Source organism: Homo sapiens, chromosome 10, assembly GCF_000001405.40.
Source record: "Homo sapiens chromosome 10, GRCh38.p14 Primary Assembly".
NCBI lineage: Eukaryota > Metazoa > Chordata > Mammalia > Primates > Hominidae > Homo > Homo sapiens.
In genome coordinates, this window is record NC_000010.11 from 61,675,257 (window position 1) to 61,703,001 (window position 27,745).

General features: G+C 33.6%; 1 protein-coding gene across 8 annotated transcripts in view; it reads left to right on the top strand.

The window, feature by feature from the left end:
• Positions 1-27,745, top strand: part of CABCOCO1 (ciliary associated calcium binding coiled-coil 1) — a 103,838-nt gene that overhangs the window by 12,328 nt on the left and 63,765 nt on the right. For 5 of the 8 annotated variants that reach the window (NM_001366908.2, NM_173554.3, NM_001366906.2 and 2 more), the window contains 3 exons: positions 5,887-6,056; positions 10,785-10,929; positions 15,293-15,365. In NM_001366908.2, coding sequence (NP_001353837.1) covers positions 5,887-6,056; positions 10,785-10,929; positions 15,293-15,365 — 388 coding nt within the window. Of the gene's footprint in view, positions 1-5,886; positions 6,057-10,784; positions 10,930-15,292; positions 15,366-26,423; positions 27,563-27,745 lie in introns of those variants that run through there. The other 3 variants (XM_047424714.1, NM_001366909.1, NM_001366907.1) reach the window with 1 other exon arrangement.

Here is a 27,745-nt window from a genome sequence, read left to right on the forward strand (position 1 = left end):
TTTACGTATTTGCCAGTAAAATACTGGAAACTTTGCATTCAAACCATAGCAATATCTTCCTTCAGATGCCTCCCTACATAATCTCCTTTGGAGTACAATGACCGAGCAAAGAATGGAAATGATAAATCCTTAGCCCTGTGGTTCAAGTTAAAAGGGAAGAGACAAATGGTATTAGGGAAAGTGGTGGAGGAAGTGTGGGGGACAGCAAAGATGAAAAAGGTCAAAGAGATTTCACCAAAATATTTTTTGGCAAGTAGTTACTGTCATTCAAACACAACTAAACATTGAAAAGTAAAAATAAAAAGCAAAGAACATATGCAAATATTCAGGGCAAATATTTAATTAAAAATACGTAGTGTGCAGATGGCAGATGATGAGTACAATTAGAAGGAAAACTAACTGCTAGAAACAGAAGAAAATGTTAGATTAAAGCTAATAATTAAAGAGGGCATCAATTTCACAAAACAAGAGACCAAAAAAAAAACATGGTAAAATATATAAAGAAGAAGCTTTTAGAACTAAGGCAAGAAACTAAGGCTAAGAGTAAAACCAGTGTAGAACTTACATTGCTGAAAATCAAGTCAGTAATGTGGAAGACAAATTTAAGAAAACTTACATAAAGTGTAGATTAAAGCAATTATTCAAAAAAGTTAGAATATACATTCAACATAGTGAATCAGAAAAAATAGTCTACACTTCATAAAACTTTGATTTTAATATTTTAATAGAATAAAACCTGCTAAATTTTTGTGGGATAAATTTAAAGCAAGTCACCTAAACAGGAAAATAACAGGCCTCAGACTTTTCCTTAGCAAGGTTAGTCTGCAAAAATCAGTGGTGCAACAAGTAACCAAAATGTAGGAAGTCAAAAGTATATGATTGCAAAATAAAATACTAATTTTGTCTGATGTTCAGTTATAGTGGCAACAAGACATTGCAATATAGAGAACAACTCAGAAAATACAGTATTCATGTGGTCTTATTGAAAAATTTATTTCATAACCCAGCTGAAAAATAAATCAGTTCATTGGTGAATTTTAAACAACAAAAAACTGCCAATGAGAAATTGTGATATAAGAAGCCTGGCAGTAAGTATGGATCATTTAAAATTAAAATTAAATCCAATATGGTAATAATAGACTGAAACAATTATTCTAGAACATCAACAAAAATAGGCAAGCACATGAGAAAAAAAGTAATTGAATTTCCTTTTCTCACCAAAATAAAATTGAATTGAAGCAGATGACCCCTATTTATAGTAATGCTATTTAAAATTGAAAGTGAGTGATTGCAAATACTTTAGGATTAGTGTTACAAAAATCATATAATCACAAGAAAATTGCTTTAAGAAATGGCTCATAACAAAATGCTTTTAAAAACTTGTATCATAAATGTAAAGGGTTAATATCCCTAAGTATGTGAAAAACTTTTATAAACTTAAAAGAAAAAGTAACCTATAGAGGACATTAAAAAGAAATCCAATCTAATGAATAAGCAAAGAAATATATAAGATAGTAATTTTCAGCCGGGCGTGGTGGCTCATGCCTTTAAACCCAGCACTTTGGGAGGCTGAGGCAGGCGGATCATGAGGTCAGGAGATCGAGACCATCCTGGCTAACACGGTGAAACCCCATCTCTACTAAAAATACAAAAAAAATTTAGCCGAGCGTGGTGGCAGGTGCCTGTAGTCCCAGCTATTCAGGAGGCTGAGACAGGAGAATGGCATGAACCCGGGAGGCAGAGCTTGCAGTGAGCCGGGATGGAGCCACTGCACTCCAGCCTGGGCAAAAAGAGTGAGACTCTGTCTCAAAAAATAATAATAATAATAATAATAATAAATTTTTCTGTTAGATTAGTAGATGTTAAGATTATGGACAAAATCCAACGTAGATTGGAGTATAGAGAAGTGGACCTTTCTGTGTGGTCTTGATGAAAGACTTACTTGGCACTGCCTTTCTGGAGGGAAGTTTAGCAGCATATCTCACCATGGCCAATATAACCCAGCAGTCCCAATTTTAGGAATTTATTGCAAAAGATAATTGGAGTTTTGGAAAGATCTTAATTGATCATTTCTCTTTACTTTAGATTCTTAACCAATGGAGGACATCAAAGCCCATGTGGGAATACATATTTCTGATCTATTATTAACTGTATTTAGACCTCTCTCCTATTGATAAGACTTAAGAATGTATGAAGGCTTCCTATTTCTCCTTCTTTACCGAATACTAATCCTTTTTCAGTTATGTTCATTACCATTTTTTTTCCCAGTCTGCAGCTTGTCTTTTCTTTTTCTTTTTTTTTATTATACTTTAAGTTTTAGGGTACATGTGCACAACGTGCAGGATTGTTACATATGTATACATGTGCCATGTTGGTGTGCTGCACCCATTAACTCATCATTTAACGTTAGGTCTACCTCCTAATGCTATCCCTCCCCACTCCCCCAACCCCACAACAGGCCCCAGTGTGTGATGTTCTCCTTCCCGTGTCCATGTGTTCTCTTTGTTCAATTCCCACCTGTGAGTGAGAACATGCGGTGTTTGGTTTTTTGGGTGTTTTTTTTTTTTTTTTTTTTTTTTTGTCCTTGCAGCTTGTCTTTTCAATGTAGTTAGATTGTCTCTGGTTCTCCAGAAGTGTTTCGTCTGTTTAACAAGGACCAATTTATTAGTCTTTTTCTTTATGGTTTGTATCTTTTTGGTGTCACTTTTAAGAAACTTTGGGCTATCCAAATGTCAGAAGTATATTTTTTTAATTAAAGTTTGTAATGTTTGCTATTGCCATTTAAATCTTTAACCCTGGATTTTATTTTAATGTATTATGTGGGATGGTATTTTATTTTATTTTCCATTTGGATAACCAATTCTCCCAGCACCATTTTTGAAGAATTTATACTTCCTCTACTGATTTGGAATAATACCTCTGCCATATACCAGGCTCCCTCATATATTGGGTCTGTTTCTGGACTTTCTGCGTATTCCACTGGCCTACTTATTTATCCCATAACAATACCACAAGTTTTCATTATTGTGGCAGTTTTCTTACTGACTTTCACTTAAGAGTGAATGATACTGTAGATTAAACATTGAGAAATATATCTTGCCAAATGATGTCCAGTGCAAATTAAAGATCCCTGGCTAATAGAGTAAAATCCTACCACCACCATCATCAGGATGTCTATATCTGCCAGTTGAGGTGAATGCCTGAAAAAATGTGTCAAAATGTATAGTGACATGCAACATAAAAAACTGACCATATTGACCTAAAAATTAAAAATACACAATGTTCACATATATATATATATGACATAACAGGAAATTCAGAGATAGATTAACTTCAAAGTTAATGGAGTCAAGGTCTAAATAGTATCATCAAAAAATAAGGCTTAATCTTAGAACCCATTTTTCTTAGGGTTACAAGATAACTGGCGGTAGCAACTAAAGCCACTTATTCACTCTTTCTTATTTTTATTCAACAGAAAAAAAGAAACTGCATCCTCTGTTATGAATTATTTATAATAATTTAGGAGCAGGCCCATCATAGAACAATAATTATTATTGAGACATACCATATACCAAATGGCATTATGGCAAGGGGGTGAAATTAGTATGATTAGCTTAGAATAATCAGAACTCACTTTTGGGTTTCAGGTCTACCCTGACACCACTGTAGATGAAATGCATGTTGAAGAAATAGACCTATCTCGACCTCAGCTTTATTTGTTCCCAAACTTGTTCAATCTTGCTGTATTTATTAATCTGATTATATCACTTATTTTGATGTTAAGAATAATAAGGACTTCCATTTTTGAAGACAGCAGTAAAAAGTTGTCACACACATATTACCCCTCTCAAAATCACATAAAACCAACAAGGAAATACCACCTTCATCTTTGTCAAAACCAAGAGAATGCTAATGGTCCAAACCACAAAATATAAAGATGATGGCCACTGTCATTATAGATCAACCAGAAGGGCAGGAGAAAATATAAGGAAGGATGCTCATAGTCACAGAGCTTAGAATGAGCTTATATCTATATCTATATCTATATCTATATCTATATCTATATCTATATCTATCTATATCTATCTATCTATCTGCTTAATCTCCCAGGAGGGGAAACCTTAAAGTACCATTCCAGGAACCCTTGTCTGCAATAGCAGGACCAGGGTGTGCAGGCTTGGAGCAGATCCTTTCTGTAGCACAGGAAATTGACTGTTTATATGATAATAAAGAGAGTCTATTCATTCTTTTCTTTCTTTTTCCTTACCAATTAAAAAAAATAAATAAATGCTAGAATAATTGACACAAAGTTACTTCATACAGAAAATGCCTGCTAGTTTGTAACTTGGCCAGGTCTCCACCTCCAGTGTATTTCCCGAAAGTAGGTATTCAAGGACAAAAACTCCCTTCATCCAAAGATAAGGTGGTAAACAAAGAATATGCATTCCAGGACACTGCAAGAAAAAATAGGAGAGGAACAGGAAAGAGAAATAGCAAATCAAACACATCAGAAAGATATAACCATGAGAAGACAAAAAATATAATCAACTATTTTATCATGAATTTTAAAACATATGAAGCAACTACAGAAAGCATACAACAGAGATATAAAAGCTCAAGGAAGAGATAAAGAAATAAAAGATTATAAAACAGTATCCAAAATGAAAAGAAAATAGACTTGAAAAAATTTTAAGGTTGAAGAGAAAATTATAACTCTAGAAAAAATGACTAAAATGTACATAATTGGAATGCTTTTTAAAATATAGCAGAATGAACTGGGTGCGGTGTTCACGCCTGTAATCCCAGCACTTTGAGAGGCCAAGGCGGGCAGATCACTTGAGATCAGGAGTTCGAGACCAGCCTTGCCAACATGGTGAAACCCCGTCTCTACTAAAAATACAAAAAATTAGTCTGGCATGGTGGCGGGTACCTGTAATTCCAGTTACTCTGGAGGCTGAGGAAGAAGAATCGCTTGAACTGGAGAGGCAGCGGTTGCAGTGAGCCAAGATCACACAACTGCACTCAGCCTGGCCGATGAAGCAAGGCCCTGTCTCAAAAAAAATATATATATATATATTTATATACATATAACATATATAATATATATATTTATATACATATAACATATAATATATATATTTTTATATATAACATATATAATATATATTTATATATTAACATATATAATATATTTTATATATAACATATATAATATATATTTATATATATAACATATTATATGTTATATTATGTTATATATAACATATTATATGTTATATTATGTTATATATAACATATAATATATATTTGTATATATTATGTTATATATAACATATGTTATACATGTATAACATGTTATACATAACATATACATGTTATACATATATAATATATATTATGTTATACATGTATAACATATATGTTATACATGTATAACATATATATGTTATACATGTATAACATATATATTATATATATAATATATATATCTCAGAATATTTAACAATTTAGTTCCAGAATATTTTCAGAAATAAAAGAAACTTAATTTTATAAATGAAAAAAGACGTTGAATTTCACAGAAAAATATACTAGTAAAATTGCTATACATAAACAGGGAAGAAAGAAGGGGAAGGGGAGAGAAGGAGGAGAAACAGAAAATAAAGAGGAAGAGGAGGAAGGAGACCAGAAATAGAGTTTGCTCCCCCATCCTCGTTCTCTCTCTCTCTGTTTCTTTTTTGAATGTCATTTTGGTCTTATGAAGCTTGATGTAACTGAATATTTTCAGATTATGGGCATTAAAGAAAAAGACCTGTTTTCAAAACTTAGGAAAGAAATGGTTCAATATCTAATCTGAATTAATATGTGGATTTTTGTTTTATTTTACAGAAAACTGAGAATATTTTTGAATTTCAAAAACCTTGAAACTTGTTTAAAGGATGCCATTCTACTAGATTATTATGTATCTGGATTTTTGTGGGCTAGAGGAATGGATTTCTCTATTATTCAGTATTCAAAATTTATGACTTTACTAGCTATGTCACTTCAAAATCTTAAAAGTAAGTACACTATTTTCCTTTGAAGTAAAACAAATTTAATTTACCATATAAATTGAGGTTCTTAAGCAAAAGTTACAGATTTTATTGTAATTCCTTTAATGAAAAATACGGGTTTTTCCTGAGTATAACAAATACATAGTTCCTATCTCCATTGAGTTATAAAACCTCAAGTAATACTTAACAAAGGCTACAGTTTTCATAATAGCCAATTTGCCAAATATATGTTAATTTCATTTTAAAGTTGTATCAGTGGCATCCACCCTCTAAATATCTGAGGACTCTGTGGTATTCTTGTGAAATTTTTGTAAATTTAAAACTACACTAAAATTAAAAGTTTATCAGTAACTATTAGCTATCTCTAAAATAGAATATTAGGCAGCTATAACAAGGAGAAAATGAAGAAACTTTCTGTGTACTGTATGGGAAACAATATATAGTTATCAAGTAAAGCAAGGTGCAGAACTACATGCTTTTATTTATAAAAGAAGCAAAAATAAGAATCTATCCATATTTTCATTTGTGTATACACAAAGAAATGCTGGAAGATACAGAAAAAAAATAATAATCAAAATTCCCTGGGGTGAATGGTAGTAAGAACTGGGCATGTGGGCAACAGATATTGGAGGAAGTCTTTTCACAAGATTTCTTCGTACGTATTTTTGAAATATGAATACATCACTTATGCAAAAATTAAATTTTAAAAGAGAATATGTAACATGGACAGTCCTAAGCTTTGGCGACTTCTGAGCTGAGTATTCACACACTAGAAATAGAATAAAGGAAAGTAAAAATTTTCATGGACCTCACATCCCAAATTTGAGAAGATATTTCTTTTTTAAACTTTTCCTGTAACTTATAACTGACTCAGTAACATTTCTTCTATGTGAAACTTTATATTGTTGATATTATTGCAAAAATGAATTTCTAAAACCTGAGCAGGATCCATCCAACTCCTCATAAACTATGAGAGAGAAAGTACATATGTAGAACCTAACCAGAAAAAAAGCAAGGAATCTAGTTTTTCCTCCTGGCAGAAAAAATTTTTTTTAAAAATCCCTCCACACTTTTAAACTGAACAAACTTATAGTCATCATTAGGAAAGAATGTAATTTTAACCAAATGTGCCAAGGAAAAAGGTGAAGTATGTTTACACTTCAACTAGGTAGCAGTAGACTCCTGAGCACGTAGCCAGGTCCATAGACCTAGATGGATCCCCCTGGTGTATGATGTGAATGTTAGCAAGTAACTGTAGAATATTTTTTATTTCTTATGATGCTAAATTGGTTTTCCCCTCAATAGGAATAGCAAATTCAGGTAACATTTATGTAGATTAACTTATGCCAGTCATAGTGCTATTTGCATTAAAAATATTGTCATGTTTAATTCACATGCCAGCTTATGAGAGAAATTGATAAGAGTCAGAGGAGTTCAGTGACTCCTTAAGGACACACAGGGTCTACACTAGCAAGTGAGGGCCCATCTTCTTGAATACGACATCAAATGTGCTGGCTTTGGGCTAAATCTAGAAAGCACTATACACATGTAATAGTACCAGGAGTTAGTTTCACATGAATTTCTTTTTTTTTTTTTTTAAGACAGATTGTCACTCTGCCACTTGGCCACGCTGGAGTGCAGTGGTGTGATCTTTGCTCACTGCAACCTCCGCCTCCTGGATTCAAGCGATTCTCCTGCCTCAGCCTTCCAAGTAGCTGGGACTACAGGCATGCGCTACCACGCCCAGCTAATTTTTGTATTTTTAGTACAGACGGGGTTTCGCCATGTTGGCCTGGCTGGTCTTGAACTCCTCAGCTCAGGTGATCTGCCCGCCTCAGCTTCCCAAAGTGCTAGGATTACAGGCATTAGCCACTGTGCCCGGCCATGAATTCCTTATTTAATCCTCCCAACAGCACTATAATTTTGAAAATAGGTATTGCAGTATTCTCATTTTACATAGAAAGAAAGTGAGGCCAGGTGTAGTGGCTCATACCTGTAATCCCAGCACTTTAGGAGGCCAAGGCAAGAGGAGCATTTGAGGCCAGGAGTCCAAGACTAGCCTGGGCAACATGGAGAAACCCCATATCTAAAAAAAAATTGAAAAATTAACTGGGTATGGTGGCCCACATCTGTGGTCTCAGCTACTTGGGATGCTGAAGTGGGAGAATCGCTTGAGCCCAGGAGGCTGAGGCTGCAGTGACCCATGATTGCATCACTGCATTCCAGCCTGGGCAACACAGCAAGATGCTGTCTCCAAAAATAAATAAATAAAAAGAGACTCAGGTCACCTAACTACTAATAATAAAGGTCAGTTATGAGGTATCATCCTACATTTTCCAATTAATTATAAGTCTAGTATGTTCTTTCATTACTCTAAGTTTTCAAGAATACATTTTATTTCTAGAAGCTTTTACTATTTGAGTGGCTTAATCTTTTATATTTTAATCACATCACTAAATGTGATTTTTAAAAAAGCAAATATTTCAGTTAGATAAATGAAATTATTACTTCCCTAATTTTTAAAGCAATTATCTACAGAAAGACATTAGACATAGAAAAACAGTTTTAAAGATTCAACTATTTTCAGAAGGAAATAGTCATATAAATGTATTTTTGTTTGATAAGTATAATTTCATCTGGAATTATAATCAATTATCTAAGAATTTCTCTTTTCTCTGCATCTCTAATTAATATCATTTTATTAATAAAATAATTCAGATTTTCCATTCATTTATGAATTGCTTTTATCCAACAGATTTTTCATTTCTGAAGCTACTTCCACTATTATCAAAAGAAGTTTATCATGGAGAGAGAAATGTACAATAATAATTGAATTCCACTTAGAATGATATAGGAAAACCTAGTTATCCAGAAATAATTCAGTGTATCTGACATACATAAAAGATGATCTGGAGGGAGGCAATGGGAAACGAACCAATTGTAATTCATTAAACCAGATTTTAATTGTTTTATGTAGTTTTATGCTTCTTTCTAATTCCTATAAGTAGATAAGAAGCTATACTAAACAAATTACAAGTTAGTGTTTATAGTGTCTTCCTAACATTTTAAATTACTTTACTTTCACCTTATTAGTAATTTTGGTATTTAGGGTAGAGCACTTACACCCCAGTGGGAAAGAGTAGCTGTGTAATCCAGAAATACCTGGTCCAGCAATCAGCCTGTGTTCTCATAACTGTTTTAAATCTCCACCCATTCCCTTCCAAATCAACATTACAACAAGTGTAATGTTGACTGATGGTTTCAGAGAGAGACAGAGATTTGGATGGTGGGGTCCACATTGAGCAGCACAATTCCCCCAGATCCCACATTCAGGCCCCCCACTGACATTCATCTCCCCCAGGCGGCCTGTCCAGCCTGGCTTTAGTATCTTTCTACTCTCCACCTCCAGTATCCTCTGTCTTATGTCCACACACCCATCGCTTTTCTGCAAACATAGGACACCCTGGCCAGTCCACTTACCTGACTCCATCTTCCAGGGGAAGGGTGGATAGTGTGTGTGTGGGTTGTAAATAATGTTTTATCTGTCACAAGTAACACTGAGCATAACAGAACCAAACGAGAAAAGAAAATGGAATTATATTTTTATTACAGACATTTTAAAAGTTAAGTCTAAGGTGTTCTTTTTCAACTGACAAATGCCACAGAAGACGGTTTCGGGTGTTTGTTTTCATTGGTGTGTAGCTGTGAAAGAATAGATGAGAAATCACTGAGCTCTTTACTTCTTAGTGGTGGCCAGGTTGTGTCACTCTTTGTGCATTTTCATCGGGCTCTCACCAGCACCACTGGGCAGATATTTGAGAAACAGCTTACATGAGTTATAAGTCTGTGGCTGTGGAAAAGAAAAAAAAACTTGATGTTTTACATAAAAATCCATATTTCTGACTTCCATTGAAAATCTTCAGACCCAGATTTACACATGGAAACAATTGGCTAAAGCCCAGTGTTGATTGACTCCATTCATTTACATTTTCAGCTCTAAGTTCAGCTCTGCTGTCTAGTAACTGAACCTCCCATCTAAGTCTTCCATTCCTCACCAGCTGTCAAACATCTTTTTTTGCAGTTTTCATGCTTTTATTCTGAGACTGTAGAAAAAAGAAAAAACAAATGCTTTTCATTTTAAAGAAAGATTTTAAAGTACATTTTGAATTTTTTTTCTTTTTTTTCATCCTAAAATGGAAACATAAACTCTGCAGACAATTGTGTAGCATTGTAGTAATTTACAAATGTTGGCGCAGGGTCAGCGCTATTCCTGAGACAGAGTCTCACTGTGTCACCCAGGCTGGAGTGCAGTGGCACCATCCCAGTTCACTGCAACCTCTGCCTCCCAGGCTCAAGCCATCCTCCCAACTCAGCCCCCCAAGTAGCTGGGACCACGGGCATGTGTCACCATGCCTGGCTAATTTTTGGATTTTTTTGTAGAGACAGGGTTTCGCCATGTTGCCTTGGCTGGTACTCTAACTCATGGGCTCAAGTGATCCACCCACCTTGGCCTCCCAAAGTGCTGGGATTACAGGCTTGAGCCACCGTGCCCAGCCAGCTTCTATTCTTTTGCATAAAACGTATTAATTTATTATGAAGAAACAAGAGTTTTACCATTTATCCTCACAAATACTTAACAAAGTAAATTTTGGCACATTGAAAACATCTTGGATTATCTTATTCTGAAAACATCTATCAAAATAATAATTAAGATTTCTCTGGATTTTATTTCAGCACTACATATGTCCTTAGAGGAAAGCATAAAATGGCTTGGAGAAGTTATGGCTGAAATAGGACCAACACATTCGCAAAAGAGTGAGGACTGGAATATCTTTGATGTAAAACAAGCCAATGCTATCATTGATTACTTAAAAATCAGGTATGGATTATTTTCAGTAACATTTATTTTTCATTTCACATCTTCTGGAAAATGTCTGTTAAGTAAAAAGTAATTCAGTTTTTAGCAGATTCAGATATTTACAGAATTTATGCCATAATTAGCCCAATCAATAATTAGGTACTTAAATCTTCTTTAAATTAAGTGTTCAAATCTTTCACCTAATAACTAAAAGTCAGAACAGTGAACAGTTTGGCTAACTTTGCATTCCCAAAAAAAAAGGTTTGCGTTTGATAAATATAATTTTATCTAGAATTGAAATAAATTAAGAATTTCATTTTTCTTTGCATCTTTAATTAATATTTATTAATAGGATGATTCACATTAATCAGCTGCAATTATAATAGACTCTATGTTTTAGGTAGTTGATCTTTCCAACTACCTAATTCTACATTTTGAAGAGCAACATTCATTGCTATTTAAATATTTGTTTTGAATGCTTCGTATTAGAAATTGAAGAGATTTATGAATATACTTCCTCAAATTTATTACATCCCCTGAAATATCTTGTAGTATTGACCAATTAAACTCATTAAGTCTTTCTTACTACTTAGAAAATAATGGTGTGTGGAAGTAAAGTATTTTTATTACAGTGATTCTTCATTGGTGAACTAAGAAATTTGTCTTTTTATATAATCTGTCACAAGGTCTGCAGTAGAGTCATGCATCTCTCTAAAGGGACATTTTTAGGGTTTGCAAATATTCAAACAAGAGTAGGTTAAAATCTTTTGTCAAGCTGAAAGCTTCTGCATAATATTTTTGTTCCTCTTGTACTATATACTCCAGTGTTTTTCAACTTTAAAATTTAAAATTCTAAAATAAGAGTGCTGACTGATATCTTAGACATGCTCATGATTTGCTTGGCAAGGATTCTAGCTGAAATCTAGAAAGCTTTTTAAATCCTAGTAGGTTTAATATGATAAAGTTTATATATTGGTTTGTGGTATGAATTAATAATGTCATATGATATACTATGGTTTTTACGTAATAACATTTAAAACAATGTGGTTTCTTAATATTAAAACGTAGCTCCTAAGGGGTATCTCTCAATAAAAGCCAGAGTAGTTTTCATATCAATTAAAGCAAAGCAAGGTCCTTGTGTTGGGGGAGACGACGGTAATCCAAAATTGGAGGAGAGCCTATTCCTCAAGGTCTTTCTACCCATCAGGGTTTGAGAATCACTGGGCAGAGGAATTCTACTTTGCACATTGTATTAGCATCCTTATTTTCCTTCTCTATTTGAACAGTCCCAGTTTCTCTTGCAGAACACATTTTTACAACTGAGCTCTAAGCCCAGGAGGTTTCTAATGGGCACAGGGACTGATAGTTGACAAGGGCCACAAAACCCATGCAGGTGCCATAATGACCCCTTCTGGAAGGAGAAGGATGACAGCTCTTTTCCCCTTCATCTCGTCTCTCTGGGCAAATGTTCATCTACATATTTCTTGACATTGTCCTTCAGAAAACAATTAAGTTAAGAGGGGCTGTCCATGTTAGTCACCTTTAGATTCTAACCAGGGTAATTTCACATATTATAAATCCCTAATATTATTACTTCACTAAAAATAAAACAAAAAGTAGTATTTAAGAAATTAGTCAAAGTAAATCACAGCAATTGTTGATGCTGTTAAGTCGTCATATTGTTATTTCAAAGAAATTATGCAATTTAAATATCCCTATTACAGAACTATAAAATATCAGTTAGTAGGATATCTGGAATTGAGTCTGCAGTTGTATAAAAGAAAATATGCTTTCCTACAACACCTGTTCAGAACCCCTCAAAGGTCCACAAATGAAAGTTTAGCGGGGACTGAGAGGAGGGGCAGCATCAAGAAGAATACCTAATAGATGCTGGGCTAAATACCTAAATGATAGGTTGATCTCTGCAGCAAACCACCATGGCACCCGTTTAAACCTACCCATCCTGCACATGTACCCTTAAAGTTAAAAGTTGAAGGAAAAAAAACAGTTTAATGACAATGAAATCACATAATATTTTTCATTTTGATGACTACAAAGCAGTTTTATAAATATGAAGGTAACCCAGTTATCAAAAGTATAAGTGTTTGAATTTAACCCGATATTAAGTTTACCCAACCACTAAAAGCCCTAGTCAATTTTGGGAGAGCAGTTTTTAGAACATGACCCATACCACATGAAACTTAACTGACAATAAAATGGAAATTTCATTTGATGCCCTTAACACACTCTGTCATGTGTCTGTGATTTGAAAAAAACTAATACCAAATTTCCTCCCCCACATGACTGTAAGTACTGGCAAATCTAGTTGTACATTTTTACAGTGTATTGTATCATGTATACAAATATAAATACTTCTGCAGCTTTTTAGTATAAAACATCATTTACATATATACGGCCCAAATACACGTCTGCCGTTGTGGATTCTACCTATTTTTGGGAATTAGGCGATAGTAATCTCAGGTGTACACTCAATATAAGAGGCATATACCCAAAATAAGAAAATCAACCCTGCCGCTCTGTAAACCACAGGGTATTGCACTTCCAGGCATCAAGCCAGACATCTTGAATTATTTTCACTTCATCTCTCTTCAATTTAGGACTAAGACTAAATGTTTGACAAAATAATCTAGGAAGTTGAGTCAGTCAGAAGCAGAAGAAAATGCATTATCGCAGCTGAAGTGTCACTTTGTTCCCATGTAGCACCACCTAATCGCTCCTGGTAAAGCTGGACAAGGCCCTAGTCCTGGCCTTGCCCCCAAGCCTGCAGCTTTGACCACCGCATACAAATCATGCATTTCGTTTTCAGTGTTAAGAAGTGAATTTCCCTCTTGGCATGGGACAACCTAATTCCTATATGCAATTAAAAGAATAAGGCTGAAAGATTATGAAATTTCAGGAAAGAAGATTTATGAACTAAGTTCTTTGTGTGATGCAAGATGGAGAAAGGGAAATTTTATGCCGGTTCACTGAGAGGAAGCCAAGCTGTTTCCAAAATACTCTATAGTCTTTAATTTTTCTACTTAAAATCAGTTATTGCCAGTCTAATATTTTTTATCTTAAGGCTTTCTCTAGGTAACCAGCGTAAGTTAGGGAGAGTTTGAATTTATTTTGCATCATTGAATTATCAGACTTCACTAATCTTGATGTATTTTTCTAGCCAACAAATCAAAGTACTGTCAAAAGCTAAGTTACTTTTCTGAATGTTGATGAGTAATTTGAATGTACAAGAGGTTTTTTTCCCCCAAAATACCATGACAGACTCTGCACACCCATCACTTTTTAATGGATTGTGTTAGTAGTGAGATCAACTGCTAATATAACTCAGAGAGACTCAGCTGCCGGAGGATTTCTTCATTGATTTCAAATGAATTGAAACTTTGATCCATTACAACATCCAGGAGAAGCCATTATTATACATGCTCTGTAGCTACATTTTGCAAATGTTAATTTCTCAGTTATATTAAAATCAATTTCCTTAAATAGCAAAAGGCACCAGAGTGAAAGAGAAACCACTAAGACAATTTTTTGTTCTTGGGCATTTTGCTGTATTATGAGTCTATTAATTTTCTCAACCAGCAGGAAGAGAACTAGAAAAATTCAAATATTATCACAAACAGGATATTAGAAGTCAGCCCTTCAGTAAATTTTTAACTCTTAATAATGCATTGCTCCTTAAACTTACTAGAATACTTGTTTTAAGGACCTCCTATCCTTTGGTTCTTTATAGTTTTTGTATGCTGACCACCTAGTCTTTAGGGTAAGAACTGAAGAAATGATCTTTCTTAAATTAATTTTTCCCTTTCATGTATGACCGAATATTCTGCAGAAAACTCAGACATTTTCTAAATGGATTTTAGTTCATGCGCCATTTTTCAGGTATTATTATAGATTAATTTAATCTTGAAACAGTTTGAGAATGTGAGAAGTAATTGACATAGAGGTAGATTATATAATTCAGTGCCATTTGTACCAGAGGAAATTGACTCCTGTTTGCAGCAAAAGAGCAAATAATGTAAAGTTTCATGTTATTTAGTAATGGTGCATTATTTGCTTTTAAGCTAGGAAAAGTCAAGATGCCATCTAATTTCTCCCTTATTCCTAACTTACCCACTCATTACAGATGGATTTACTGATATTATTCTAGGTACTATGTTATATTGTCCTTTCCTTAAAGAATAAAACTCTTAATTTCTTAGTATTTCCCGACAATTTCTTTTGGAATAAAGGAGGATGCTAAGTCTGTTTTAGTGTCTGATAGCATTAGTTTGGTCAATATGAAGTTTCCTTTAATAAATGTCTTTACATATTGTGTTTTTTTTCCTGAAATCAACTTATCAGAGTGCACATTTATTTTATATTTCAGCTTATTTCAACACTACAAGCTATACGAGTTTATGTTCTACTCTGCCAGGGAAGAAATTGTGATAGGAACTGAGGTAAGTAATTTATCTAGATGGAACAAGTTAAGCAGAATCACTTAATGCATGCTGATCAGCATCTGGATCTTTAACTGCTTAAAGCAACTTCTTGTCAAGATTATTCAAGTGTTAATATAATCAACTCGTAGTTTGCAAAAAGAATAATTATATAAAGTGATCGTTGCATTAGGAAAATAAGTGGTCTTTTGGCATTAAAAGCATTGTTAATCATTTATACTTTGTGTATTTATGGATTATTTGACAAAGTTCAATTGGATAAGGTACATATGTCTTCATACAAATAAAATCAGAAAAAAACAACTAGTAATTTGCAAAAAAGAATAATTATATAAAGTAAAGGTAATGGTAACTCAGTGAAATCCCTTCTAATTTCACATTTTTTTTCATTCTACTCATTGTTTAAGACCTAATTTAGATCCCACTTCCTCAGTGGATCAAACCTACCTTAATTGCATCATAATCTCAAACAAAAGGTTTAGACAAACTCTCTAATCAATCCTGTTATTGTGTGCCAAATGATCTCTTATTGCTGAATTTGGGCTACTGTTGCACCAATAAGCATATCAATATTCACTGTGTTATATGGTTTCCTAATTGTTTCCTGTGGGTTGATGTAGTTACTACAACTCAACAGTAATTTTCTTGAAGACAAGGATATCTGCTGCTTTTCTACTACAGCATATAGTATAATGTAGGATACAGTAACCCCTCAATTAATACTACATAAACAATTTAGTGCATAGGACAGCAGTTCTACAATGAAAGGTCTATCTGGAGACACTTTCAAACAAACTTACTTATAATCACATATTTGTAATTCCTAGAAATGAATTCTGAGTAGGAAAACATGTTTTTACTTTATTTTGTTTTATTTTATTTTTTATTATACTTTAAGTTCTGGGATACATGTGCAGAACGTGCAGGTTTGTTACATAGGTATACACATGCCATGGTGGTTTGCTGCACCCATCAACCCGTCATTTACATTAGGTATTTCTCCTAATACTATCCCTCCCCTTGCCCCCCACTCCCCAACAGGCCCCAGTGTGTGATGTTCCCCTCCCTGTGCCCATGTGTTCTCATTGTTCAACTCCCACTTATGAGTGAGAACATGCGGTGTTCGGTTCTCTGTTCCTGTGTTAGTTTGCTGAGAATGATGGTTTCCAGCTTCATCCATGTCCCTGCAAAGGACATGAACTCATCCTTTTTTATGGCTGCATAGTATTCCATGGTGTATATGTGCCACATTTTCTTTATCCAGTCTATCATTGATGGGCATTTGGGTTGGTTTCAAGTCTTTGCTATTGTGAATACTGCTTCAATAAACATATGTGTACATGTATCTTTATAGTAGAATGATTTATAATCCTTTGGGTATATACCTAGTAATGGGATTGCTGGGTCAAATAGTATTTCTGGTTCTAGATCCTTGAGGAATCACTATACTGTCTTCCACAATGGTTGAACTAATTTACACTCCCACCAACACTGTAAAAGCGTTCCTGTTTCTCCACATCCTCTCCAGCATCTGTTGTTTCCTGACTTTTTAATGATCACCATTTTAACTAGTGTGAGATTGTATCTCATTGTGGGTTTGATTTGCATTCCTCTAATGACCAGTGATGATGGGCTTCTTTTCATATGTTCGTTGGCCACATAAATGTCTTCTTTTGAGAAGTGTCTGTTCATATCCTTCACCCGCTTCTGGATGGGGTTGCTTGTTTTTTTCTTGTAAATTTGTTTAAGTTCCTTGTAGATTCCAGGAAATCATTTTAAGAAGACTAAAGATGCCATTAAAGAAATAGTGCTTCTGTAGGTCCACAATTACTTTAAGGGGCTTTGTTGCCTCCTAGAAGTACCAGGGACAGGAGTGGCCATAATCAGAAATAAACAGTGAGTAACAGGATATTCACATTATCTTTGTAATTTTCCTGATATTAAGAACCACATGGAACATGCCAGCTATTCTGACTTCCTGGGTATTGTTATTCTGGGATTTATAAATTACTTGCTTCATAAACACCTCAGTCACCATTACTCACTCTTCATTTGGGTACTTGTTCTAATGCTAGACTTTTAAAAGTGAACTGCCAGAAAACAAGGAACCCTTTTTGCTTCTGACTTTCATAAAAATTACTTCTTTGCAGTCTCCTCATACTGTAGCTTAAATTAGGTGTCACTTGACAAAGTTTCACTGAAAAACGTTTCCATTTCAGAATTACCTCATATCGCGTGACAGCCCTTGCAATAATTATCAGTTTGGAATATAATCCTATCTCATCTATTCAAGCAAAACTTTGGGAAAATGATAGTGGCTTCAATAACAGCATAAGTTGATATTGAGAGTGATCAAGAAAAAATTTCAGAAAGAACTCCCTTTTCCTTTGTTAATTACACAATCATGCCTTTCTTCTATATTGTAAGGATATATTTAGGTGACATTTATGCTATGGAAAGATAAAGTGGAGAAAGTAGACAGGCTTGGCTGCTTTATTTTCCATTGTCATTTGTATTTTCCCCAAGCTGACCAGAGCAATAAAAAAAAATCTTTAAGAGAATGATACTGGGGCTTCAAGAATTAGGCCACTCATGGCATTTTAAAGGATTAGTGAAAGTATTTTATGACATTTTAGAAGTGTTTGCTAACCCTTGGTACAAATACCTGTTTTTAAATTAACAACCTTTCATGGAGGAGGTAGGGGCCTGCCCCAGCAATATGATTATTCATGCTGATCTCAGGGCTCTGGGACCAAATAATGGCCACAAGACAAACATGAATGTTTGAAATTTAACTCTTAGGCAAGCATTCAAGTTAGATAACACTGATGAAATTTAGTTTCTTTAATTGTGGATAGATGAGAAAAAAACATAAATCCCCTCTAATCAAAGAAGTGTCCATTTCATAAGTGAGGAAAGAATGATGAAATAGAATATCACCATGTGTCAACCTTTAATAAAATAATAGATCTAGGCAATGATGATGAGTGGCTCCTGACATCACAAAAAGAAAACCAGACATCACTGCTTTTTAATAAAATTATACAAAACCCCATATATATTGCTCTTGCAATTTGAACTGGCTGGTCTTTTGGTCAGTCTTCTAACCCTAACTTCTCATTTGCTGGAAATACGGAAGATAAAGGAATATTTTAAGGATATCACAAAAAGGCAATTAGCAAACCAGGGTGTAGGAGATTCTATAGGGCAGAAGACATGGAATATTCAAGAAATAAATTGCAAAGAAATAAAAAAAAATAACAGGTGAACCTATAGATTAAAAAATGACTGAATCAAATTCAATGTAGGTATCTTATTTGGATCCTACTGCAGACAGACAGATAGAAAAACCAAACCACAAACACAAAACAGTTATGAGATAATCGAGGCATATGAATATTGGCCACATAGTTGATGATTACTGTTACTAATTTCTGGAACTTGTTAGTGTATTACTTTACATGGTAAAAGGGACTTCGAGGATTTGATTAAGTTAATGAATTTGAGATGGAGCGATTATTCTAGATTACTGAAGTGGGATCAATGTAATCTCCATATAAGAGAAAGAGGAAAGCAGGAGGATCAGAGTCAGAAAAAGGGAGATTTGAAAATGTCACACTGTTGGCCTGGAAGATGGAGGAAGAGGCCACAACTTTATCAACTGTCTTGTTATCTAGTATGGCAATACCTTCTCATAGTTCGTTTTAATACTTAATTATTATTGTTTATTTTTCTTAAATATGAAATTTAGAAATAAACCTGTGCATACGTGGATTTTTAGTGTGTGGCATATACAAAGATTTAGTAAATTGGCATGTACAATTACTTGGGATAATTGGCTATGTGTTTGTTAAAAAGAAATTAGATTTTTACCTTATACCGAACTTAAAAATGAATCCAATTTATTAACAGATTCATTTCCCATAATGGAAGACATATTCCATAATGGCAAACTATAATTTGGTCAACACTTCCACTGAGAACAACTAGAAAAATTGGACAAGATTTTTTTAAGACTTAAATGTTTGAAAGCTCAGCTAGCAAAGCTCAAAAAAGATTATGAGCCTGACACTCAGAAATGCTTTCTATCTATGGGCATCTACAAGTTTGGAAAAGGTGGCTAAGAGACTTAAAAGCTGAGAAGTGAAGCTTTGGTAGACACGTGGAGCTAGGAGAACAAAAATTGGAGGGGGAAGAGAATATAGCAAATTTTGCAGGTAGCATGTTGGGTCTGCACAAGACCACGTTTTAGGAGATCAGCCCTAGCTACCATGGACTGAACTTCAATTCCAAATGTTCTCCATTTCTGGTGGATTTAGGTTGGATGTGTATAGTGTTGTTAACTTCCTCTGTAAAATAAAATCATGTTACACTCCAGATTGTATCAACAGTTTTTCATAACCAGTGTTTGTCATATAATAAAAATCACACAGAAAACAAAAATAGACCACAAGTGCTCCAGATGATGGAGTAATTAGTCATGTGCTTGAAAATAATTATCCTTAAGAAATAAAAAAATATAAAATATATAAATTTTAGCAGATAAAAAAAGATTACAATATTAAATGGATGTTCTGTAATAGAAAAATACAATAAAAATTAAAAACCAAATGGATGTGTTTAACAAGTTAGTCCATAACTGAAGAGAAAAATTGATAAAGTGGAAGATAAATCAAAAAAAAAAAATCTAAAATAAAGCATGGGGATGCAAAAGCATGATAAACACAGAAACTGGGTAAGAGAGTATGGATATAGTAAAAGGTATAATGAGAGTACAAAAGTCAATTCTAGAATGAGAAGATAGAAGTCACATGTGAAGCATTAATTTTCCAGAACTAACCAACACCAGTAGGACATAGATTTAGGATTTACTTGAACCCCAAATACATGTAAATCTACACCAAACATATTACTTGAACCCAAAATACATGTAAATCCATACCTAAGCATATTATAGTAAAATTTCTAAAAATGAAAGATGAAGACAATCTTAAAACCAGCCATAGAAAACAAAAGACATATGTCCTTTAAAGAAGTAGCAATAAGACTGACAGTCAACTTCTCAACAGTAATAATGAGAGCCAGAGGACCATGAAGTAATTTCAAATTGTCCTAAGAAAATAACTGTCAATCTAGAACTTCATTCCGAGAAAAAAACCCTTTCTGTGATAAAATAAGAAAAAGGCAAAGAAGGCAACAGAAACATGGGCAAAGAATATGAACAGACAATATGAGGATTTTAATAGAGGGATTTTTAGATCAAAAAAATAAGTACATTTATTACAAACAGAAACACACTAAAGGAAATACTAATGGGTGCTCTCCAGGCATAAAGAAAATGATTCCAAACAGAAAGTGAGAGAAATAGAAAGGAATGAAGAGCAAGTGAAACGGGACAGATTAAGATGGATGGATGGATGGATGGATAGATCTATCGATGAATCTAAATAAATATCAAATGTGTTGCACAAAATGTTTTGTGAGGTTTAAAATACACGATGACAATAGCATATAAGTTGACAGCAAGGTAAGTGGGTTAGTTTTCTAAGCCCTTCCCATTGTTTTTGAGGAAAGTAAAAGTACTCACTTATAAATATTTAATAAGTCAAGGATGCCTATTATATCCTTGGGGGAAGCATTGAATAAATGATAATGCTAAGCTAAGAGAGGAGGAAGATGGAACAATAAAATCAGCTGAAGTACTAAATTTAAAATGCAAAACTATAGTAATAAATATGAGAAAAATATGAAGGAAAATATTTTTAAATGTGGAATTGGCCATATACATTTTTTAAGATGTGATGAAAAATACTGTGAATAAAATTTTTTAAGTCACTGGGAGAAAACATTTGCAAATTAACATATGAAGGTCAATTCTTTTTTTCATCATTTTAGAGATAGGGTCTCATTCTGTTGCTCAGGCCGGAATGCAGTCATGTGATTATAGCTCACTGCAGCTTTGAACTCCTGGGCTCAAGTGATCCTTCCACCTCAGCCTCCCATGTAGCTGGGACTACAGACACACACCCTCATACCCGGCTAATTTTTTATTTTTATTTTTTTGGTTGAGATGGGGGTCTCACTTTGTTGCCCAGGCTGATCTTGAAGTCCTGGCCTCAAGTGATCCTTCAGTTGCAGCCCCCTAAAGTGCTGGGATTACAGGTGTGAGCCACTGATTCCAGCCCAAAAATATTTTATACACAAATAGTTTCTTTGATAAAATAAGAAAAAGGCAAACAAGGCAACGGAAACATGGGCAAAGAATATGAACAGATAACATACTTTACCAATAAACAGATATAAAGATATCCAACCTTAATAGTTATCAAGGACCTGCAAAAAATATGTATTTCTTAAATATAAGATTAGCTAATAGTAAAAAGATGGATTAATACCTTGTTAATGAGGATGCAAGAAAACATAGCTGTATTTAGTTGGTGCAAGGTTAAATTTGTAAAGCCACTGTGGAGAGCAGATTGGCAAAATCTATAAAGTTTTTGTGAATGTGAATATCTTTCTTCCCTAAATATCTTCTCTGTAGACATATGTACTCATATTATATAAAGCTTTTCCTACCTGAATATTCATCAAAGCATGGTTTATTACAGCTAAAAATTGCAGAAGGTAAATCAGAAGGGAAATACTTTATTTAAAGGAAGTACTCAATAAATACTTGTTGTGTACATTCATTTAAATAAAATGAAGTATAGTCACACTATAAAAAACTATCAAGTCTTTAGAATGAATGTAGTAGATTCCTATGTATGGTTATGTTAATATCTCTAAAATATATTCTTAATTTAAAAAGTGTAGAAGTAGAACAATATGAATAGTGTTCCCATTTATTTTTAAAAGTAAATAAACATGAAAATATGTAGACATGTATATGCATGTAAGTGATTGTATAAAAACCAAAAGAATTTATACTAACAATTAATATGGCTTACTTTTGGGTAGTTGGGTGGAAATAGGAATGGAATAGGATGTGAAAAGGGACATTTTATTCTGTATATTTCAGATTTAATGTTAGTCTTTTACAATGTGAATGTCTTCACATATTTTTGTACAATAATAAAATTGTTCCTTAGTTCATTCCCAAGAAGTATAATGCTAAGGCACATTTTGTAAATTAAGTGCAGCATATAAACAAACTTATTAACATATTGATAGACAGAGTGACTTCATCTGGGTTTTTACAAGACGAAAGGCTGCATAGGAAAAAATACGTGAACTCTCAATCCATAAAATTAAGTGCTTTACAAGTGTGTTGCTACCATATTTAAAATTTCAATATAAACTAGGTTTACTAAAAAGTCATTTATAGAGTAAAAATCTAGTGTGGTGCTATAACATCCCAAATTTTCCCCAAGAAAATAAAATTTCTATCATGAATTATGCATTTTTATCATATTGTAAAAATATTTATTCAGCTTAATTTCACCAAAGTGGCAACACATCAAATCTTAGATCATTTGTATTTTCAAAGGTTATATCCTATGTATGCATTTCAATACACACACACATATATACACATTTGTGTTTGGATATAAAAACATAAGATTAAGTCTGCTTTAATAATTTTTCTAACTTACAAAATGTGTTAGATAGGTATAGCTTTATTTGTAATCATTTAAGCCAACTCACTCAATCTGTTTCAATATTTTATTTTGCAGCATGGGCATTTTCACATAAGCCCCATTGCACAGCTCCAGGGGCACCATTCACATTGCAGTCCATGTGTTTAATGGAGTTGTGCATTGTACAGATTGTGCAGCCATTGGTGGAGGCCCTGTTTTTGAAAGCGGTTCTGTAGCAGAATCTGATTATAATAAATATGATATACTTAGAAAGATATTTAAAGAAAATCATAAATATGCCTAAGTGCTTACCTTGACTAGAGTCACATTTTGGCAGCCTTTCATAACCCGAAATAATACCACTTAAGGTCAATAAATGCAGGACCTCTCTAAAGTCAGTGAATGTCAACTGTATATAATTTCATGTTCTGAGCACTTATTCCTATAGCAAAAACAAAATAAAACACTTTTTCCTTCCTTATTTCAAAACCCACACAGATTGTGGGTGTTAATGACACTATACTTAAACATTGTTAGCTTTGTGGCAGAAAATAACCATATAAAAACATAAATTTTATTTTCTTTCTTTAAACTATAAAGTTATAGTGTCCTGAATAAACAAAATATGAGACTTACGTAAACATTCACCCTTTTAAGAAAAAAAAGACCAAAACAGCATTGCACATTAGATCATATTTTGGAAACGAGGAAGGCAACTGAAGCACAGCTATAAAGATATCTTTTTTTCTCTTCAGTTTACCCTTGAGATGTACCTATCAAAATAATCTAAACTTATCCAGATGATGTTTTTAATCTTGAAAAAGGCTTTTTTCTTGTTGGATGATCCTATTAGCAAACTGCTGGAAGAGAAGATCATACAGGCCATAATTTGTAGTTTGACCTACTCACATTGGGTGTTGCTAAAGAAAATCAATCAGAAATTGTTGTGTTAAAATAACTCTATCTGCTCTACCTGGCATGTGTGACTAACTGACTTTAGAATCTATCATTTAAAGAAAATGGTTGATGCTTGGATATACAATTTATCAAACTTCACTCCAGTCCTTTTTCTCCGAAGCACAGAAAAATAATCATCCCTCTCTAAATATAAATCTTTTAAGAGAAATTCAAGGAATCTGTCTCCAGCAAAATAACTGATAAATGGCAGAAGCATAATTTAAAGATGATTTCCATCACAGATCACATGACATCTCAACTCTTGAGACTGTCACCCAAGTCTTCCCATCTGTTGGCCCACGAGCATCAATCTCAGCTCCTCTGTGACCAGTTCTCTGATTGAGCTAGGTTGGCCTTTTCGTAATTACAGCTTGCTCATTTCCCTCTGCCTTGCAGTATGAGGCTGTTCTTACTGCCTGAAAAGTTCTCTAACATTTTGCTACCAACCCATGCCTACTATCCCCTCATAGCTTCGTCTGAGAGACACTTTTCTTACAGAAAAAAAAAAGCGAGAGAAGAAGGAAGGAATAAAAAGTGCTTTCTCTTACATTACCTTTTACTTGTTATTTCCCCAACATTAAATGTCTTGTTCAAAAATACTGTCAGCATCCACTCTCCTAGAAATTGACTTCTAATTATAAAGTGATATCTCAAGCAACCTATTACTATCTGTAATTCCATGAGATCTGGGTAACTGACATTATTGTTTCTCCTGTTTTTCTGAGTATAGGAGTTACATACATTCACCTAGTGTTCAATAATTGTTCACTAAATCAATTAATGTAAAGGAGAAAAGTTTTATTTTATTGATTAATTACACAAAGTTATATTTGGAAAATATTATTTTGGTGTGTGGACTGAAAAACCTAAATCAATATCTTAAATTATTAATCATTAAGCCCATGACCAGGAAATTAAAAGCTGGTAATGGAATAACACATGTCTATATTAGTCATGTTTTCTGTTATAGAGAAACTGCCTTATATGGACCACCTTGGGAAATGTCTAACTATTGTCAAGACTGTAAGATACCAGAGGCCACTAATATTATTGACTATATCAAAATTTAAAATTTCTATTCTAGGGGAGGGAAACATCATAAACAAATTTAAAAATCAAACTCTAAAAATAAAATTTCCAGTATAAATGACAGAAAAGGCATAATAGTCTTAATATTCTATATAATCAATAAGAAAAAGGTTACCACACTAATGGGAAAATTAACAAAGCATATTTACAAGAGAAAATATAAATAGCCAATAAACTTATGCAAAGATTTTCACCCTTTACAGTACTCAAAGCAATGTAGATTCAACAAAAATCAAATTCTCGAAAATTAAAATGAAACCATTGGCTTGTGAGAATGTGATGAATGGCATTCTCATATATTGCTGGGAAGAATGTACATTGTTAAACTTTCCAGAGAGTGGTTTGGCAAGATATATCAAATTTTTTATTTGTATTTACCTTTTGAGCCAAGGATTGTCCTTCACTGGATTTATCCCAAGTAGATAATCAGACAATGGGCAGAAATATGGGTGCATATATTTGATTATAATGGGAAAAAACTGTAGAGTAGCCAAATGTCTGTTATTAGAAGAAGTTTAAAATTCTTATGGTGCCTCTATATAATTCTATCATCAAGAGTATTCATATAGTGTTGTACTTACGATGGAAAGTTATTCACACTATGTTAATTATTTGATAACAAGCTACTAAATGTGTCCATTGTGACTGCAGTTTATAGTTTTACACCCACATCTGTGTATGTATATGTATACATATACATACATGTATACATATACATACATGTATACATATACATACACAGAGAGAGAGAGAACGGGTCCTGAAGGACATACATCAAATTGTTAGCAGTAGTCCTGGGTTGTCAAGAAAATGATGAAAAGCATTTGATGTTAATGGTATACCAGATCATCTTCACTTTCTCTTTCCTTTATGCTTGTCTTTATGAAATTATTTTTCTGAAATTATGTTTTGCAATCAGCATGTATTATAGCATATATACATGTTCTCATTTTTAAAAAGTAACAGCTTAAATTACCAAAGTTTTACTCTGTTCCCTTTTATTTTCCTTACTCAGCATTATTTCTTTTTTCCTTGCTTATTTAACTTTTAAAAAATGCATAACATTATAAAAATGTCTGTTTTATTTTGAACAGATGCATTTCATGTTTATGTGATTAGGCAGTGTTCTTTTTCCCTAAAGCAAAAGGTTCTATTGCAAATGAAGATTTAATTATTACTTGAGGATGAGTATGTTATTATTCATGAGTTATATAAGTCATAAAAAATGTCCAGGGTGATAACAATACGACCTAGAAAACAAGGACTTTAGCTAAGGGGATTTACTCTGCTATTTATGATATTATCTGGCCAATAGATGGCAGGACTTGGGGGAATGAATGCAGTCTAAGAAAAATCATCATGTTTCCATTCTCTGATTACAAACCCGCAGAATCCATTAATAATCCACACTTCTGGCTTAAAGTGTTCTTTTCAGTCTTTTCTAGGGTGTCCAGATATGCATGCCTAAAGTAAACTGTATCAGGTTCAGCAACCCACATTTGAAAGTGGACATTTTCAAATCAAAATGTTGTCAAAGGAAAATAACCTGGATTTTCCAAGACCAGAGGCCTCTGAAAAAGAAAAGATTCAGAGTGGATATAACTGTCTTCAAATCTAAAGGACTAGCAAGATAAAGAAGAGATTTGTCTTGTCTGCATAACTCCCAGATGGCAAACCAAAGATCGTTGGATCTTCTAGGGAGGATTTTTACTAAATAAATGCAATCACTTTCTAAATATAGAAGTAGCCAGAAATGGAAGGGATGAGATGTGGGAGGGCAGAGGCTCAAGCCTTCCTCAGTTTTATACTACCAACTCTCAGCACAGGTCCTGGCAGAGAGACGGCACTTTAAGTTTTATGGAATGAATTGAGAGATAATAGGTTACATCTTCATTGAATATATTTCAAGTTTAGCAATATGGCTTTTGTTGAATGATATTTTCTGAAGTTGTTTAAAGCACTAGAAGGGAAATTGAACTAGATGATCTATGAGTATGTGACCATCAAACCCAGATTTTTCTAGGATTTTTTAGGACTTTCAATTTAAACTATTTTGTCCTATTCTTCCCATGGGTATATTTCCAAATGTTCTTCTCATTAGTAAAGTCCAAAATTTATGATCAGCTAGTCTTACTCTGGGTAGCAATTACTAATAGAATGACAAAGTGGATTCCTTTCTATGGGCTGGAAATCATATAGGATTGCTTACAGTTGGAGTGGATAAATGCAGTTGTTTATAACTAAAAGGTCACTTACCATAAATATATAGCTGGCTCTATCTTGGTGAATGCAGACTTACATGTTAATAAATATAATCAATGTAAGTCAACCAAGACTCTAGGGTTATATATTTTTATTGATCGCTTTTTTTAAAAAAGAAGATTTTGATCACAGTTCTATAATATTGGGCCACATACCAATGTTTTCATAGTGTTCAAGTTGGCTTATGAGGCCACTCTTTAGGCTTGGTGAGTGTTTGACAGATGGCTGAGAATATACAAGCAGATATGCACTGTGCATGAAAGCATGCAAGTGAAGAGTCAATTAAGAAAGAATAAACATGCTTAGAAAGAGGCCACCTGATTGGTATTCTGACTACAGAATTGAGAAACTTTCTATGCAAATTATGCAGCTGCATCAGCACCATTGACATTATAGGAGTGAAGAGGAGAAAAAAAAAACAGGAAAAAAAAAACAACAACAGAGTTCTCTGTGGCAAAATAGTTTTGTGCCCGATCAAGGAAATAATATAAAGGG